We start from the raw sequence: 16,816 nt of genomic DNA, 5'->3' as shown, positions 1-16,816 counted from the left end.
TGATAATGAGGTTTTGTCTCTCAAACACTTTTCTACTTCAGGAAGGAGGCACCTTAGTTCTCGTTTTGATGTAGAGTCACCTTATCTTACTGTTTTCTCTGATTATGAATTATTTAAAACAAAGTATGTATTAGCACCAGTCTTGATGGTGAATAATGCTCTTCTGAATGCCTGAAGGTTGGCCACTTTCTCCCAGGTAACTCAAGCCTTCTTCTCCTCTGCTCAAAGGTCTAAATAAAGATGGAGTCTGAACCGCCATCTCCAGAACCTAGATTCCTGTGCTTTGATGTATATTTCCTACTCAAGGTTCCCCAAGCACCAATGCGGTGCCCTACTCAGGCTTGCCCCTCTCAGCAATGCCCTCATGTGCTCTCACCTTTCTCCAACCCAATTCCTGTTCCTTCAGTAATAGGCTCTGCTCAGCTGTTAATGATGTTAATCATCAGTGGTACCTGCTGAGCTAACAACTTTGCATTTCAGCATTTTAATAGGGGGAATTTCTTGAGACAGTGCTTTATCCCAAAGACAGACCAAGGAGAAAGACATCCTTCTGGGTATCTGCAAGGGTCACAGTGACACTGACACCAACCCAGACTTTCATCTCTACACTTTTATAACAGGTGTGCTGCCTTGCTCATAATACTGGCTGGTTCCTATAGCATAAAACCACTTACAAACTCAACTCAGTAGAAAAACTGTTGATGGCCTGTACAATTCTGCACAGGCAGCAGCAGCTCTGTCTCCAGAGCTCTCTCTGCCTCCTTTGCACTCTGAAATAAGCAGCAGCAAGCAGCTGTCACCCCAGAGGGAAGAGCTCATGTTGAGTGTAATTTCTGAATCTCTTTGTAATCTGATTTTAGGATAGAGTGTTTGCTTTCCTTCTTCTTGGGCATTGAATCCAATAATAGTAAGATTCCTCAAGTATTGACAAGACTGCACAGGAGCAGAGAGACCTGAAATCAATGAGGAGTTCACTGTATAGGGAGGTGGAAGGTGAAAAAAGAAGGCCCTGGTGTCTCCATGCCTCCTCCTTGTAAAGCTATGTCCCACCTCAAAGGACAATAGCCCAGAGTATGACTGTAGAGTCAGCAATGTACTCTAAGCCAGAGGAGGGGAAAAGTGCATGTGAGGAGAGGAGGTATAGCTCTTTTATTCTGGAATACTGCATCATCAGTCTCAGAGATGATCTGAACTTTGTTTTCTAACAACCGGGAATCAGAAATGACATAAACAGAAAAAAAATAATCTTGGCATCTCAAGAGGCTCATCCCTGTAGCAGGATCAGGGCTGAGGTGCCAGCACTTTTTCTTCCCTCTCTCTGAATTGAAGAGGTGCTATGATGGCAAAATTCACTGAACCAAAGGAAACTGCAGTGACTGGAAATGTCTTTGTCCCTAAAACACCCCCCCTGACTTCCAAACAAGAAGATGGCTGAGAGGACACCAGCCTGGGGCCTGGAGGACCCAGTGTGGCTCCCCAAGGAGAACTGTGGCCCTACAGCCTCACCACTGGCTGGGCTCTCCACCCTAGAAGCATCTGCTTCATCCGGGTGCAGCCAAAAGGAACTCTTCAAAGGCCCCAACACCCTGAGCAGACATGACTAAAGCAGCAGAATCCCTGGGAGAAAAACCCGCTCTGGTTTTACAGGAAAGCAGGTCCCCAGTGCTTTGAGCGAAAGAAAAAATGGGCTCATAAAAGAAACAGGAAGGGGAATAGGAAGGATAGCTATGAAAGGAAGAGCTACGGGATTCAATAAGAAAAGGCGGTCCTATGGGAAACGGTAGCTTTGGTAATTTTCTGAGATGACAAAAAATAACTCTGAATGTTCTGTTTGGTGGCTGGGATCCTGGGAGGAGCCTACCTGGCCTTTTGAAGATTATCACACCCACTGCCTTGACTTCTCAAGTCTTTTAATCAAATAGCTTAAGAATAGTTGCAGTTGGCTTTAGAGAAGTAATTGCCCAGAGATCCTGGGGTGAGCCCAACACTAGAGGCTGTCCAACAGCTCTGGGATGGAGGGAAGGACCCGCAACAAAGACCATGTTAGAGATGGCGGCAACTGGGCTGGTTTTCCAACAAGATCTGATGATAAGAAAGGTCGACTTCCTAGTGCAGAAGAGACACAATGATAATATCCTATGAAACACAACTTATTGACTCATTTGGGGTAATATGTCTCTCATTTGGAATGACTATTGCCTCTCTCAACACTTCTGTTAACGCAGGTTCTATCTCCATACAGTGGGAAAAATGAAACCTCAATTTTCTTATGTGACTCCTTGAAGGTGATAGTGATCTAGACCTAAAAATAGGAATTCTTGCCTCTAAGCTCATTTTTTTTTATTATTACAGCATCCCACTCCTACTGGATAAATCTTGTATTAAGGGTAGCTTAAAGAACATATCTAATTTAGAAAGGTTTATACTGATATGAACTTGTGGGAAATTAACTAAAGTATTGGGTTCCTAAGACCTAGGACCGCCTGGGTCTGCACTTGAGATTGGTAAAGATCATTCAGAATAATGCCAAGTCAATTAGAAGATGATGGAGTTGATGGCTTCTAAGTTAAAAATTCTTTAAGCAGTAAGGTAAAGAAAAAGTCGAATTATAAAATAAAGATTCCTTTCTATGAAGGTGTAAAAATAACACAAAGCAAAGAGGCAAATAAGCACAGATAGCTATGCCTTATTTAAATACAAATCCTTCAAAAATAATTATCAGAGTATTTTTCTCTCCAGATAAATTCCTCCCACTCTTTTCTTTTTCACCATTTTTTTTGCCCTCAGATCAACCCTAAGGAGCTGGAGAAACCAATATTAGAAATTAAAATTTTCACTTGTGAAATATGTTATTTAACATATTTAATAATTATTCCTTGCTTAATAATCATAGTAGCATAAGAAAAAAAAACATGCACAGATGTCAGACACACATTCTTCAACTGCAAACCTATCCCTTGACCTCAGTCCTTATACAGTGGGCCGCATTGCATTCCAAATATTTCCAAGTTTGCAGTCATCACCACCTCCTTCCCAGGAGATCAGCAGCTTAAAATCCTTAGGACAACCCTGGACATGGCAATCTTGCCTTGGCAGAGAAGATATGTGCCACCACCCCCCTACTGCTGATGCGGCCTTTCTGATTCAAGTTAATTGCTTTGGAAAAAAGGATCCAGCCTCCTTCTCACCTCACCGGGAACGTTTCCCTGGAAAGGAGGGGATATTGTGTGTCCAGCTCGGCTGATATGGGTCTTTAATCAGATCAGCTCTGAGAAGCGAAGGAAGCAGAGACTGAGAAGATGGGAAGCCCTGAAGTGACCTTGGGAGGCCCAGAGTGTGGGAATATTCCGAGTTTTGTCATTTTAATCCTCAAACATAACTCAGCAGGAGAGCTTACAGTTCAGCTCTGCAGCAACTCACACTGCATGTCTGGGTATCTGAGGTCTGAATTTTAGCACTACCTCCATTGCTACTCACTAGCACCCAGAGCCTGGAGGAAGGTGTCCACCTCCTTTCCCTTATCTCCTTAAAGAAAATCTACCAAAACACAGGCTTCATGCAGCTGTTATGTAAATGGGCCCTGCCGCAGAGAGAAGAAAGCAGGCATCCATAAACCACCAGGTACAAGTTCACTGTCATTCCAACACAAGACAGCGCGCTCTGGGGAGGGACGAGAGACATGAGCTCACGTGAGCGCTGCAGCTCAAATTCAGGAATTTGTCCTGGGCACCCTGTAGGCAGGAACCCAAGACAAGGGACCAATCCTTGATTTTCAGCCCAAGTGCCTTTTCTCATCCCTCGAGAGCTGCAAATTTAGATGAAGGAGGACAACTTTCTATGGGGAGGTCTAAATTAGGCTGTCTATGACCAACCTTTAATTGAAACTAATGCAAACAAATGTCTATCTCACTCTGAGTTCCGTTTTTTGTTGTTGTTGTTTTTTTTTGGTTTTTTTTTTTGTTGTTTGTTTTCTTTGAGACTGAGTCTTGCTCTGCCGCCCAGGCTAGAGTCCAGTGGCGCAATCTCGGCTCACTGCAGGCTCCGCCTCCCGGGCTCACGCCGTTCTCCCGCCTCTGCCTCCCGAGCAGCTGGGACTACAGGCACCCACCACCACGCCCGGCTAATTTTTTGTATTTTTAGTAGAGACGGGGTTTCACCGTGTTAGCCAGGATGGTCTCGATCTCCTGACCTCGTGATCCACCCGCCTCGGCCTCCCAAAGTGCTGGGATTACAGGCGTGAGCCACCGCGCCTGGCTCTGAGTTCTGTTTCAATTAACATTGTGGTGGAAAGGCAGTTGGCAAGGAGAAGACTGTGATATTTTAAAAACAATAAGCTAAGGATTAGAGTTTTGTTTCGTTTTGTGTTTTTTAAATGGATACTGTAGTCTAAAGGAAAAAGTAGGAGAGAAAAGTTTTCTCCTAGCACTCTCAAAGCAGAATGTGGTGCCAGCTGCTCCACCGACTGTCTGAAGATGGGGTAATTGCCACTCTTCTCACCATAACTTCTTGCTTTCAGATCAGCGGCTGGCAGGTTTATCTGCTTCTGAGCAGCTTCAGAGCCACGTCAATGACACTGGCTACGTCAGCAAGAGCAATCGGAAGAGAGGAGGATGCCACTGCCAACAGCAGTGGGAGGGAAAATTTTAGCCTTAAAGATTCTGTCTATCTGCCTGATTCTAACTGGCATACATGACTGTCAGTGATTTCAGAAGGCCAGAAGAGGGTATATAGTTTTAGACTGCCTCCTTAAGGCTTGGGGTACAGTAGCATTTAGTTCACATGTGTTTAAGCTTCCAAAGCCCTTGTTTAGGTCTTGTTCCCTACTTAGGAGAGGGTGGGCTTCCAAATGTATCAGAGGACATAACCAAAATAAACACTACCACAAATAAGTGTCTAAAGCCACACCACACACACCTACAGTGGTTACTGCAGTAATTCTGGCTCATTTCACACTATCAATAGTTCTAGCTGCTTTCATTTTTGGCACTATTATAACAAACCTGACACTACAACCACTAACAATTTGATTAGGATCCTTGGCATAATGCTATTGTATGGTCTTTTTTTGTAAATAGGTTAAAAGCTTCTGCTCTCTGGGATGGCAATCCTTTAAAGTTCATGGTTACAAAGATATGATTCTATTCCATGGTCCAGTATGAGTCACCTTCTCATCCAGGACCATGTCGATGTGAGGAAGCATTATATATGACTAATACACTGCCAAAATGCTTTTAAAGGTGTTGTCTGGGGAGGAGAAAGAAAGCCTAAGGCAAAGGTAACTGAGTGAGTTCAAAGTGAAATAGCTTCCCTAACCCAGACATACCCAGAGGAGAGAAAAATCCCACTGCTAGCACAAGCCTGGTGTTCCCAACTACCCTAAAGTCAAAATTTTGTGCAGAGATCAAAAGCTTATGGCTATTGGATTCCAAAAAATCATTTTGTCGAATTCACAGATGAAGAAGGAGGATGCCAAGCTCAGAAAGCTGCAGTACTCCTCTTATGTTCTTAGGTATATTCTTAAGACTATATATAACATCTGGCGTAACGCTCAATGCCAGGCTCTAGCGGGAATGTAATTGAACATTGTATAATGAAAATTACCAATAACTTGTCAACAGCTATGTTCAAGTCACTCGATTTCCTGTGCTTCAGTTTCATCACCTATTTCCTTCCCAGTGAGCTAAAAACAAAGATGTTAAGGTGCCTCATAGGGTGAAGAAATGAGGAACACACCTTAAAAAATACATAAGGTGATAACTAGAAGGAAAAGAACCAATAACGCCACATTTGGAGTCACTGCCCCCATGGTTACCACCATCACTCGCTCTAAGCCATAACCGGTATGCAGTTCTCTGCAACAGGGGCTCTGAACCTGGGTCCTTGAACCCCACAGGCTGTCATGGGTGTACTTTAAAAGAGGTCTGCCAGCTCTGATCTCTAGGGCAGGAAGCCCAGGACACAAAACTTAAGAACCACTACTATAGTAAACCTTGGCTACAGGTGTACCAAAAACAAACAAAAACAAAAAACACTTACAATGCCAGATGGAGAGGAAAAGTCAGGGAAGATGGCTCAGAAGCCAAGAGAAAAGCATAAGGATCTCACAACAACTACCACCTTCCTAAGCCTCAACTCCCTGGGACATCTATTCAACACTGACCCTGTCTGAAGATAATTTTTTCAAGCAATAACGCCTAGAAGATCATTAATAATAAGGAGAAGAAATGACTGATCATGGAGGACACAAGGCAGAAAAAACCTGAGCTGCCACCCATCCACTACTAAAGACACCTGTCAGAGGGACAACCAAAGGATTTGATGGAGCTTTGAGGGGAGCAGGCAGCTTTATAACAATAGGGTTGTCATGAGTTGCAACTGTGGGGCCATCTTGTGTGCAGTGTGAGAGATGAGAATGGAGTCTGGGTCTGCAGGTCAGACGAAGGATGAAGAGATGAATACTCTAGCCTCTCAGTAGTACCAGCAGGGCGATAGGTACTTCCATACCCCCCCCAAATAAGACCCAAGTCCCAGCTTTGACAAAAGAACCATGTTTGGAAGAGAAACTGAAGTAAATTGGAAGGAAGCGCTTCAACAGGAGGAGAGTGGTTCAAAAGATGGACAAGAGGTAAGTTGTGATCTTCGAAGACCAGGTCATGGAGAAGGGGGCACCCTTAAAGGGAAGTGAGAGAGGGAAAGAAAGAATTTCATTCTAATTCCTGAGAGCAAGGCAGCGCATATAAAATTACCTAAGATTTACAGAGCGATTTGCCGTTTACAAAACATTATGACATTCACGATAACGTTTAATCCTTATCACCCTGAAACGCTGGTTACATTTTATTTTACACATGAGGAAACTGAGGCTGAGTAGGGCGGATTATGCGACTTGCTCAAGGTCACTTGGCTGAAGTCAGCGCTAGGATGCATCCCCAATGCCCCCACCCCTCCGGGTGGCCGTCCACCCTGAAAGTCTTTGTATTATCTCCTACAGGGCAAGGCTGGTGTGGCTGCAACAGACTTCGCCCCCTCACCCCCAAATCTGGGACGGAGCAGCGCCCTCAGGTGTCAAGGAGGGGACCTGAGTGACGCGGAGCCACTGACTGGGGTTTCCCTGTCCTGCGGGGCTCGCGGGAGCCAGGAGCAGAAGCCACAGCTCTCGAACACACGACAGGCAGTCAGTCAAGTCAGGCTCCAGCAGCAGTTGCCGGCGTGGGGCTTAACACGAGAGGGGCAGCGCTGGGTGAATTCCCCTCCGAGCGATCCCAGGGCTAGGACCAAGCGCCTGCGCCCGCTTCTCCGACCCGGCTCCCCACACTCCCCCCTGCCCCGCTGGCTCCTTCCCGGAGGTTCCCCTGTGCGTGGGGGCGCCCTGGAAGAGGAATGGGGCTGGGGTGGAGTATGGAGGTGTCAGAGGGCCGACCCCGGGGCGAGGGCTTCCAACGCCGATCTTATGGGTCAGGACAACCGCGAACAAACCCCGGCTGAAGTTTGGGCATCAAGGGTTTCAGACCAAGTAGCAAGTTGCCTGGAGAGCGAGCGGTCCTAGGTGGAGGGCCTGGGGCAGGGGTGGCGGTAGGGGAACAAGGGAGAGGCAGGAGATGGTGCCCCTTCCCACGCAGCCCCTCGCGGCCCCGCGGGTAGGTGGCCGGTCCGCCTCTGCAGCCCGCGGGTGCGGAGAAAGCGCCCGGCACCGGGCACCCGGCACCGCGGCGCAGCGCAGCCAGCCCCTCCTCGCCGCGCTCCGCGCTCCTCCCCACCTGCCCACGGCCTCGCCCCCGCCGCGGAGACTCACAGTCCTCAGAAACTGGATCTCGTCCTCGCCTCCTTCTCCCCCTTCGGCCATGGCTCCCGAGGCGTCGGCGGTGCCCCAGCCTCCGGCGCCTCTGCTTCCCCCGGCAGCCGCTCGGCGTGCGCTGACTGCTGCTGCGCTCTTTCTCCTCCTCCTTTTCGTCCTCGTCCTCCACCTCCTCCTCCAGCTCCTGGCTCAGCCTCAGCCTCAGCAGCGCCAAGCTAATCCCCGACCATATAGGGAGCTGGGCTAACACTCCACTGCACTGCAGAGCGCCAACGCCAACCAAGCAGTCCGCCCACCCCTCTCGCCTCTCGCCCCAGCCAAGTGCGCTGCGGCCGCCCGCTCCGTGGAGAGCGCAACGCTGGGCGCGTCGAGCTGGCGGGGGCGGTGCGGGGGCCCTGGGCTGGCGCGGTGGAGCCTCCCCCGCACCGCTGGGTACCGCACCGCACACTCAGCGGAGGCGCGCGCCCCGCGGCGACCGGAGGATGTCCCCTAAACTGCTCCAATTCACAAACAAAGGCCAGTTGCTTAGCTCCAGCGCGCCCAGACTGGGTACCAACCCTCTCGCTTTGCTCGCTTTGCCCGCTTTGCCCACTTTGCCTGTGTGTGTGTGTGTGTGTGTGTGTGTGTGTGTGTGTGTGTGACAGAGATAGAGAGAGAGAGAGAGGAAAGAGAGAGACAGAGACAGAGAGAGAGAGAGAGGAAAGAGAGAGACAGAGACAGAGAGACAGAGAGAGGAAAGAGAGAGAGACAGAGACAGAGAGAGAGAGAGAGAGAGAGAGAGAGATCTGGACTCGAATACCTTGCTAGGACCCGCGTGCATTGTTGGGCAAGGAGAAGACGGTGCAGTGAGGAGCGAGGGTGATTGTCCACTTACAACAAAGTTTGCAACTCCCTGGATAGTCCTTTCTACACCTTAAGAGAACCCCTTCCCCTCTTCAAAATTGGTAAGTACACTTTACCAAACCCCTGGATTGTCCAGGGTTGCTGTGACTTCTGTACCCCAGGGAGCTTCTGGGGGATCCTGTGCCACCCTCAATTTGGAAGTCAGGTGGCATCACAACCCTTCCTCTCTGCCCACCCCTAACCTTATTCTGCATTTAGAGTTCCAGCCCTGTGGACTCTAAAGGGAGTAGAGAGTAGTTACAGGAGGCTCCCTTCCAGGTCCTGGAAGGCTCCTACATCCCACCCAGCCTTAGGTCCTTTTCCATGGTTGGGGATTGCCAGATTGGTCCTTGCCTTGACTGACGGTGCAGGGTGCCCCCTTCTGTTTGATGGCCGAGAAGCTCCAAGGCAAGAGACTGTTCAAGGCAAAAGGCACCAGAGATGTAGATTTAGGAGGAAGTGCAACTGGGAAGGTGGTAATTCTGGGCTGATGATGGTGGAAGACACTGGAAACCCCAAGCCATTTCACAGCTTCATATACCGCCTCCTTGTGGACGACATCTATCTCTTGATGCTACCTTAAGATCTCTTTCCTGAGCTTCCGTCCCATATGTTCTGATGAACATCAGAAATGCAAAGAAAAATGTTTTTTTCTTGTATTGTACTCAAACTGCTACCTTCTAGGCTTCAGCTTGGGCCTTGTGCCTCTTCTGAAACCCGCCTAGAATAAGTCAAACCATCTGTACATTGTGGCCCTTCACCTCTTAGAAGGCATCTGCCATGCTTGCCTCTATGGCCCACCATCCACTCTTTTCTTCTCCTGGCTCAAGGTTCTTCTTAGCCCCAACTTTCCCTGTAGTATAGTTTCCAGAGCCTATGTCATCTTTGATGGCCATATGAGCATTCCAGGTGGTCTTCTTCCTGAATTGTTGTGCTCTCCGTCCTTGTTTTGGACAGTCTTTATGTGCAGCCTAATATTGGATTGGCTTCTGGAGAAACACTAATGACACTCACTGTGTTTGGAGTTAACTAGAATTTCTAGATTTACTTTTTTCCTCCCACGTGAACTGCAAAAGTCAGCTCTTCTCCATCTTGATCACATGCAAGTGCTTGAGTACCTGTGGGCACGGTGGCTCACGCCTATAATCTCAACACTTTGGGAGGCCAAGGCGGGTGGATCACCTGAGGTCGGCAGTTCGAGACCAGCCTGACCAACATGGAGAAACCCCATTTCTACTAAAAAAAAAAAAAAAATACAAAATTAGCCGGTCGTGGTGGTGCATGCCTGTAATCCCAGCTACTTGGGAGGCTGAGGCAGGAGAATCGCTTGAACCCGGGAGGTGAAGATTGCCGTGAGCCGAGATCATGCCATTGCACTCCAGCCTGGGCAACAAGAGCGAGACTCTGTCTCAAAAATATGTGTGTGTGTGTGTGTGTGTGTGGGTGGGTGTGTGTGTGTTCCTTCCAATTGTAATACCCAATCATGTATTGATGTCTCTATATGTGAACCTTTAAGGTATTTTTAAAGCTAGAGTATGCCAGGCAAGGTGCTAATTATTACTAACCTGTGATATGGCATACCTTCAGAATACTAATAGAGGCCCTCTTGGATTAACTTTCATACTTTTGATTATGCTTAATATGGCATACCTTCAGAATACTAATAGAGGCCCTGTTGGATTAACTTTCATACTTTTGATTATGCTTATTTAATGATCAAGAACTTACCTAAGTCAGAAAAATAATACCTATTGAGTACTATGCTTATTACCTGCGTGACAAAATAATCTGTACACCAAACCTCCATGACATGCAGTTTACTTATGTAACAAACCTACATATGTACCCTTGAACCTAAAATAAAAGTTATAATTAAAAAATAACCTACATAAATATATTATTTTGCAGCCCAAATTTCTTCTTGTTCATAGGGCTACTATAAATGCCTTTCTTACATACTTTACTGAAATACAGATATGTAATCTGGGACACCACCTCCCGCATCAGTCAAATAACCCTACCACAAAAGAAGTAAGAATGGAGTTCTGTAACACCATTGGTGCATCCACTTGGATTCCTGATGGTCTTTGTGTTCCTTTAGAGTTCCCAAAAGTAAGCTGTTTAATTATCAAAATCTAAGATTGTTCTGGAGCTCAGCGTATAAAAGAGTCTCAGGCTGTTGTTTCAGACTGTAAACTGGGGAAGGTGGACATTTACTTCTATTTGAAATCTATTGGTACTTCTTCCATTCTCTAAGATTTCCCAAAGATGCACCAATAATGATGCTGTAGTCATACAGGTACAGATAAATAGTAGTTCAGACACTGTGCTTTGATACTTGTTTTGCTATTAGTTCACCCATTAAGACCGGGAGAGAATAAACTAATAGTAAGTTACTTGTCTAAATTCATACATCTAGTAAAAGGAGTCACACAATCTCCTCTTACTTGGAGTAAAACAATCTCAATACTTTTCAGTACTTTCTCCACTATAGTGCCTTGCTTCTAGAACAGCAAAGTGGAAAACATCAGGTTCATACACCACCTCCATGCCCCCATACCCCATACACATTGGGTTTGCTTCCACACAGCCTATATTTTAAACTGAGTCTCTCTCAAGACCAGTTACTCTTAGTAGAGAGCCGGAGGACTTGGACCTTAGGTCTTAGAGGGTACTGTAGCTACTACATTTTGAAAGAAAAACCCAAAGCCTCCCAGGTTTCTAAACCTCTGGAGAAAGCTATCAGCCATTATTATGACTTCAATTAGGTGCACACAACAGGGAAATCAAATACCTTTGGGATACTGGCATGGTTCAAAGTCAGACCTCAAAGCCTGCTGTATTTGAATGTTGGGGCACTCTGCAGCCAATATCAACAGCAGGTGGAGAGCCTGTAGTGGGGGCCAAATCAGAAATTTTTCATTTTTATCATTATAGCACTTTTATACCTTTTACATATACAATTTTAAAGGCCTGACATTGAAATATTGTTATTCAATATTGACTATTGAAATAAAATTCATGTATTTATTTTCTCCTCTGGAGGTTCTCAAAGTATTGGTCCTAAGGATTTTCTCACATAAGAGGGCCTCTTATTTGTGTTTTAACAGTAATATTGCTATAGTTTTAAAATGCTAATGAAAATGTCCACACTCATATAAGTCAGTATCTCATTTGCTATGTTGTATTATTCATGGTAGCCAGTTGCCCAAGTGGTCTCAATGAGGCCAAGGATATGGATTCAGTTCTAGGAGGGCCAGTTAGCTTCACTCCATTTGCTGTCCAAAGACTCTGGCCCCTTCATTCTGGTTAAAAGTCTCATACATCTTTGTTCATTTAGCCATAGGGGAGGCAGGCTTAAGCTTTAACAAGCTAGGACTTCCCATGCTTGGAGACACAGAAGCTAAGAGGTCACACTTGATAAAGATAGCCTTCACCCATGTTACTAGCAATATATTAAATTCTACACAACACTAAATCTTTCTCCAATATCCATTTCAGCCTCACTTCCTAACTATAGCAGCCATCCATTTGCTGAAAATGCATTTCTTCCATTAATTGCGCTCATGGCTTTGGTCTGCATTGACTCAGGATTTGCCTAAGGAACATATAAAAGGGAATGATGCAAAGAACTGTAGAGTTGAGGGAACTGACTCTGCTAGCTACCATCTTTTAAAATATCTCACCATATACACAAGTACTATTATATACTGACTGAAGATTTATTTGTTTTTCATTAGCAAAAAGAAAAAAAAACACTTTTCTCTGCTTTTTGTTCAGGTGTTCCAAGGCAAGAAGTTATTTTCACCAGGGAAGCCTGTGAACAGAAAGAGCTCCTGAGACTACACCTGCTTTTAATTTGGTGTCAGTAGGAACGATGGTATACACATTTTACAAAAGTCATTTTTTAATGTTAAGAAAAAATTATCAATTGTTTCCAAGATCTTTATAATAAGCTACTAAATTGGTATACTAATATAGCTTTGTCCTAAAACTTGGAAGCCATACCAAAAATCCTTGATTCAGATTCCTTTCTAAAATAGACAGGAAACAGGTACAAAAAAAAATCTTTCTTTTTCTGATGATATGTGCATTATCTTGTTTATAAAAGCCACGGACATCGCAACTGCTTAACACAGGCAAGGATCCACTTACTGATACCTTCCTGAAGCTGAACACATGGAAATGTCGTCGTTGCCACTGCCTCCTCCTTCTCCGCCTCTTCCTCTTCTTCTTCCTCCTTTCTTTTTCCTCTTTTTCTCCTTCCTCTACTCCTTCTTTTTCACCTTCTCCTTCTTTTTCCTTTTGATGTTTTAAGATTGGAGGATTACATTATAAGGCAAAAGTTAATATGCCATTCTGGCGAAAGGCTCCGGAAACTAAATAAAGAGGGGGCTTTCTCCCAGCGGGGCTGGGGCAGCCTCTGAGGCACAGCAGAGATAGAGGCAAGCTGAGCACACTTGCAGAAGCCTAGGAGGCAGATCTTTTGCAAGGTGCCGTCCATTGAACTAATTCATCTTCAAGGAGTCTCCAGTTGGAAAGGGTTGTTAAAGCAATAGATTAAGCCACCAGCATTATAGTAGTTTATTTGCATTTCCCTGCAGGTCAGCCTCTGTTTAACAGTAAATTTATACTGTAATCATTGTGTATTAGACATTAGAAATTAGACATTTGACATTAGAAACACTAGAGTTTGAGTCCTGGGCAAAAGTCTACCATTTGTATGATTCTGAGCAAATAATTTAAACTCTCAAAGCCTGTTTTCATTTTATGAAAATACCCACTTTTGTGTGTATTTTAAAGATTAAATGACTGGGTGATTAGAATGTTTAGCAGAATGTCTGGTAAAACTGCTCAGCACAAAACACCTAGATATTCCTTGCAGATCAGTCCCTGTCCTCCTTTGTGTTGGTTTCCAACGCCTGCCTTTCCGGTCTATTTGTATTCTTGCCTCTCTTAAAGTTCTATTCTTATTCGACTTTTATGAGGCCTTTACTCACACAAAAAGAGACACAATGTTTCTGATTTCAGCAAACGATTTCCTGCCCCAATAAGCAAAACATTCCGGGCAGATCTCATGTGTTGCAAGTTAATGGTGAACACCAACACTGCTTTTCTGTGTTTGTTTCCTAGGGAGTTTGTTCTGAGCTGTATTGTGTTTGCATCTTTAATGAGAGATGTATTCTGTTGCTATGGCATATTGAAATTTGTGACTTCCTCTGGAAGGTGGAATTGTCACCTTCCACCCCCCTCAGGTTTTCCCTTGGGCTTTATGAGATTGAGATCTAGTGGCTTATGAAACTATACTTAATCAGATAAGTCTCACACTAAACTCAGTGCCTTTGACTTCTAATTTCTGCATTTTAATTCTTCCTGTAATTCAGTGGCACAGATTTATTGAAGCTGCTGCCAGCAACAATTTGCTCTGATTCGCTGCAGTTTTAATAGTTCCTGCTGAAATAGGTGGGCACACAGTGGGAAAGGAGATGAACACAGTTGTTTGTCATTTATTTCAGGTGCCAGGGTAAGACCCACATTTCAGTAGGCAAAAATGTAGGTAAATGACTTTTATGCTGGTTCTAGGGTAACTATATGTAACTATATGGCCAACTCCCAGGTTCAACTTGTCCCTACAGCCTGTTCTGAGCAGATCTCATTTCCAGTATCTTTGAGCTGGTGAAATTTCCTTTAAAATAATTCAAGGAATCTAACAAAGCAAATCCTTGTTCTCTCTGCACTAAAGGACACACAATTTCTCTTAGTATCAGAGCTCCAGTGTCCTAGGATGTTAGCTCTGCCTTGCAATTCATTGTCAGAATGTTGCTGTTGTCGCCAACATGCATGGCAGAATGCTGTGGACTCTAAGTTCAGGAGGCCTGCAGTGCTGCTGGGTGGCTCCCGTTGCTCTCATCTGAGGTCCAAACAGAAGTCAGAGACCTTAAACTACCACATTTGTACCTTATCATACAATCTAGAATTGAGAATGTAGAACCTAAGTTCAATGAGTGCATAGACCAGTAAAAATGTACAATTTTCAGCTGTATCATGGGGTTGCCATGTTTTTATGTTGCTATTAAGCACATTGATAATCAAACTGCTAATTAATGGCTATTACCATTGTATAAAAGAAAGGACTTTTTAACATAAGACAGTAAAAAGGACAAATCTTAGAATTAAGAATAAATTTGACTTTATGAATAACTCACTACATAATCTCTTTCTTTCTCTGCCTCTCTCTCTTTATCACTCACTCTCTCTCCTTTTCCCGCAAAGGAGATGAAAACCTCATCAAGACCAGCACGGATTTGGGAATCACCAATAGAGTCAACCCCTCACTCTAAGATGAGGAAACTAAGGCCCCCTAAGGTGAACTGTGAACTGAATTGATGAAAGCTGGGATCAAAGCCCAGATCTCTGGGCTCCTTGTCTGGTATTTATCTTCCCTGCTTTCTTCATAATTAAATTCAGTGTAATGACGCAGACGTAGAGCAAGATCCTGGAGTGTCTTCTTAATCATCAAATATTGTCCTCTATAAAGTTATAATGTTTAGTGAATTTGCTGTAGTCTCATTCTTTTAAAAATGGCTAACACATGTGTGAGAATTCGCTAGTGACCACCTAGAGTGCTTGTTCCCTAAGGGATTATTGACTATTCTTTAAAACTATAACAACAGACAACAACAACAACAAAAAGGAAAATAAAATTAAGGTTGAGCTTAATCACTTCACTCACTTAAGTACTTATTACACGTAAAAGCAGTGTGTTGAGGAGGTTTTGGGATTGGTGAATCTCATGTTGAGGTGGTTTTAGGATAGCCCTTTACAAACATAAAATATTAAATTACTAAATTGCATGACTGTACTAGTCCATTTTCACGCTGCTGATAAAGACATACCTGAGACTGGTCAATTTACAAAAAAAAGGAAAAAAAAGGTTTAATGGACTTACAGTTCCAGGTGGCTGGGGAGGCCTCACAATCATAACAGAAGGCAAGGAGAAGCAAGTCACGTCTTACATGGATGGCAGCAGGCAAAGAGAGAGAGTTGTGCAGGGAAATTCTCGTTTTTAAAACCATCAGATCTCGTGAGATTCATTCACTATCATGAGAACAGCACAGGAAAGACCTGCCCCCACAATTCAATCCCCTCCCACCAGGTTCCTCCCATGACACGTGGGGATTGTGGGAGTTGCAATTCAAGATGAGATTTAGGTGAGGACACAGCCAAACCATTTCAATGACTTACACATTACTTCACATTTTTCATATCCTTCCACTTCTTAGTTTCTACCACAACATTATAGTCTATGGCCTCAAACGCTGAGACACCTTAAGCACTCTTTAATTGTGATTCTTGTTCTTCTCAACCCTTTCAGTATTTGGCCCTGTTGGTTCATTACTATTTATTGAAACTACTCCCCATCCTTGGGGTCCAGGTCCTAGCACTATCCAGACTCTTCTACCTCTCTGACCCTTCCTTCTTGATTTCATTTGATGAACTCTCTTTCTCATCCTGATATCAGAAATGGACATTCCCTAAGATTCCAAATTTGAACCTCCTTCATTTTCTGCAAACTCATCTTATCCTCTTTCATGACTTTAGCCACCACAGTCTCTATGCTCAGATCTTTATTGCCAGGTCTTCCAAGTTATAGATTTACTTTTCTAACTGTACGATGGAGACTTCCAACTGTGTGTATCACCATTTCTTCAAATGCAACATGACTAAAACAGAATTTATCCTGTAAGTAAGTACCCTCCCCATGAGCTCCCCTTTTCCAGACCTACTGGCTTCTCCTTCCTCCCAGCCTTTCTATCTCTATTATTGCTACCACCATCCTTGGAGGAACAATGACTGACACTGGCAAAGGAACCAGCAGAAATAATGAGTCACTCAGTCAAGACATCAGGACACACACTTCTCCCTGCCGCATTGCCCCTCTACTGGCTTCCACAACTGAGTTTGGTGTGTGAAAAACAAAACAAAACAAAGCAAAAAAAACTAACACTTCTGATAAAGAGATGCCTTCAAACAACAGACAAAGGTTATCTAGACCTAAAACACTTCAACACAAAGACAGGATTCAGGAGTTAATGAGAGAAATTGAGCTTTGCCAAGGACTTCTGCAAGGAAGCTAAG

General features: G+C 44.5%; 1 protein-coding gene and 1 long non-coding RNA gene across 20 annotated transcripts in view, besides 2 other annotated features; one reads left to right on the top strand and one right to left on the bottom strand.

Annotated features, from left to right (window-relative positions):
• The window catches only part of RYR3 (ryanodine receptor 3), a 555,136-nt gene extending 547,214 nt beyond the window's left edge, over window positions 1-7,922 (bottom strand). For all 18 annotated transcript variants that reach the window (XR_001751370.2, XR_001751371.3, NM_001036.6 and 15 more), the window contains exon 1: window positions 7,793-7,922. Coding sequence is in view for 16 of the 18 variants with exons in the window: in NM_001036.6 (NP_001027.3) it covers window positions 7,793-7,843 (51 nt within the window). In the remaining 2 variants the exon portion in view is untranslated. The remainder of the gene's footprint in view (window positions 1-7,792) is intronic.
• Window positions 6,680-7,189: an enhancer, noted in NCBI's record as "H3K4me1 hESC enhancer chr15:33603901-33604410 (GRCh37/hg19 assembly coordinates)". NCBI's record gives its function as "activates a minimal SCP1, AML or CMV promoter by ChIP-STARR-seq in primed H9 embryonic stem cells {active_cell/tissue: H9 hESC(primed)}" and the evidence as "EXISTENCE:reporter gene assay evidence [ECO:0000049][PMID:30033119]".
• Window positions 7,190-7,701: an enhancer, noted in NCBI's record as "H3K4me1 hESC enhancer chr15:33603389-33603900 (GRCh37/hg19 assembly coordinates)". NCBI's record gives its function as "activates a minimal SCP1, AML or CMV promoter by ChIP-STARR-seq in primed H9 embryonic stem cells {active_cell/tissue: H9 hESC(primed)}" and the evidence as "EXISTENCE:reporter gene assay evidence [ECO:0000049][PMID:30033119]".
• RYR3-DT (RYR3 divergent transcript) lies at window positions 8,230-15,232 on the top strand. Of its 2 annotated transcripts, none has more exons than NR_120327.1 (3): window positions 8,230-8,311; window positions 12,458-12,557; window positions 14,951-15,232. It is a non-coding gene; the product is annotated as an RYR3 divergent transcript (long non-coding RNA). The 2 variants fall into 2 exon arrangements; NR_120326.1 differs by lacking the exon at window positions 8,230-8,311 and adding an exon at window positions 8,644-8,739.
• Window positions 15,233-16,816: the final 1,584 nt, after the last annotated feature.

This window comes from Homo sapiens, chromosome 15 (assembly GCF_000001405.40).
Source record: "Homo sapiens chromosome 15, GRCh38.p14 Primary Assembly".
NCBI classification, from domain to species: Eukaryota; Metazoa; Chordata; class Mammalia; order Primates; family Hominidae; genus Homo; species Homo sapiens.
Note: the sequence above shows the minus strand (reverse complement) of the source record. Positions and strands in the feature narration are given on the sequence as shown.